The sequence below is a fragment of the Homo sapiens genome, chromosome 2, assembly GCF_000001405.40.
Source record: "Homo sapiens chromosome 2, GRCh38.p14 Primary Assembly".
Classification (NCBI taxonomy): Eukaryota; Metazoa; Chordata; class Mammalia; order Primates; family Hominidae; genus Homo; species Homo sapiens.
Window position 1 is genome coordinate 118,255,833 of NC_000002.12, and position 1,637 is coordinate 118,257,469.

The following is a 1,637-nucleotide window of genomic DNA, read 5'->3' on the forward strand; positions in this document are numbered from 1 at the left end:
GGGAGAAAGCCGGGGCTGGGGCTCGTCCTCCTTAGGCTGGTTCTCCTGGGCCTGACCCAATGCCAGATAAGGGCTTTGGAGGAGCCCTCACATTCCACCCTGTCTAACGTTTGCAGACTAAGTCTCCTCAAATAGGCCCACATGCTGCAGACTCTCAGCACTCACCCTGCTCTCTCTGTCAAGAATCCATCAATTAAGGGCTGCTAATAATATGCATTGACACAGCAGATTAGGCAGCCGTGGTCCTGTTGGCCTGCTCTTCAAGTCAATGGTTGTAGGATTATCAACCCTGCCATTGACGTTTGCTTCATTCTTCCCTCTCCAGTCCCTGGTGAGATTTGAGAGAGAGAGCTCCATTCAAACCCAAAGGCTCAAAAACAAAAGAGTAATCTCAGCATGAGGGCCTGAAAAGCAATTCAGATCAAGAGAATACAGAGGCAACCCATTGCTTTCCTCTCTCTCATCACTGCTTTCTCCCTGCTTTGTGCTGAAATTGTCATTTGTGGAGAGTTCAGCTCAGAGGACAGGGGTGTCAGAACCCTCTAATCCTTTAAACCCAATGGGCACAGGGAACCAGGCAAGCTGCCATTGGAAAGGTGCTTATTTTCCAGGCATAAGGCAAGGCTGTGACTGCCACACCACATTTTTCTCTACTCTGGTGGGTAAACACATGGCTGCAGGTGGAGAACAAAGGTTTGGCATAAATCTGGCCTTGGGAAAATGGGAGATACTCACTTGTCAGGGGAGATAATCAGCACCTTATCTGGTCTTTTCCTCTTGGCCCTTTCCTCTCTACCAGGCTTTAATTCCTCTTTAGGGGCAGCATTAGTGTGTTGGATAGTAGGGTAAGCAATGGTGGGTCTACAGCCCCACAGTGGGAGGTGAGCAAGGCTGGTGCAAGACTGACCCTGGGGGCAGGGCTCTGTGATGAAGCCATCCAGGGAGCCAGCCCAGTTCAAGAGAGAAAGTGGAGGCAGGTCTAACGCCTGAATATTGTGTGTCTTGCAGGTGACGGAAGGTGAGGAGAGAGCACTGAGACCAAGCAAATGGAGGCACTCAGGGAATGAGAGGCTAAAGATGAGAAGGTAAGAGTATTCACGTGAGCTGGATTCCATCCAGCAGTTGAGGTGGGATGGGACAAGGATGCCCCACTATAAATTCACAATGATTCCAGTCCTAATCAGCTCAGGATGCCATAATAAATACCACAGAGTGGACAGCTTCGACAACCAACATTTATTTTCTCACAGCCCTGGAGGGTGGAAGTCAGCGATCAAGGCATCAGCAGGTTGGGCTGATGAATTGAGATGTTTTCTTTGAATGTGGTCAAAGTTATTTGTTTCCTTTTGAAGTTTATAATTTCTGTGTCTTGTCTAAGAAATCCTTCCTCTACTCCCAAGTTCAAGAGGATATTCACCTATCTAAAACTTTTAAATCATTTATTTTGTCATTTAAGTCTGTAGATCATCTCAGGGCAATTTTTGTGAGTGGTATGGATAGGGATTCAATTTGTTTCCTCATAGTAAGGATGACCACATTGCCAAGTTCCAATCATTGAATGATCCCTCCATTCCCGCCTTTCCATGCTAGATCTTACAGGGCTCTCTTTTCTATCCCTTTGGTCAGTTAGTCTGTCC

General features: G+C 47.2%; 1 annotated feature.

Moving 5' to 3' along the window:
• Positions 293–1,131: an enhancer, noted in NCBI's record as "OCT4-NANOG-H3K4me1 hESC enhancer chr2:119013701-119014539 (GRCh37/hg19 assembly coordinates)". NCBI's record gives its function as "activates a minimal SCP1, AML or CMV promoter by ChIP-STARR-seq in naive H9 embryonic stem cells {active_cell/tissue: H9 hESC(naive)}" and the evidence as "EXISTENCE:reporter gene assay evidence [ECO:0000049][PMID:30033119]".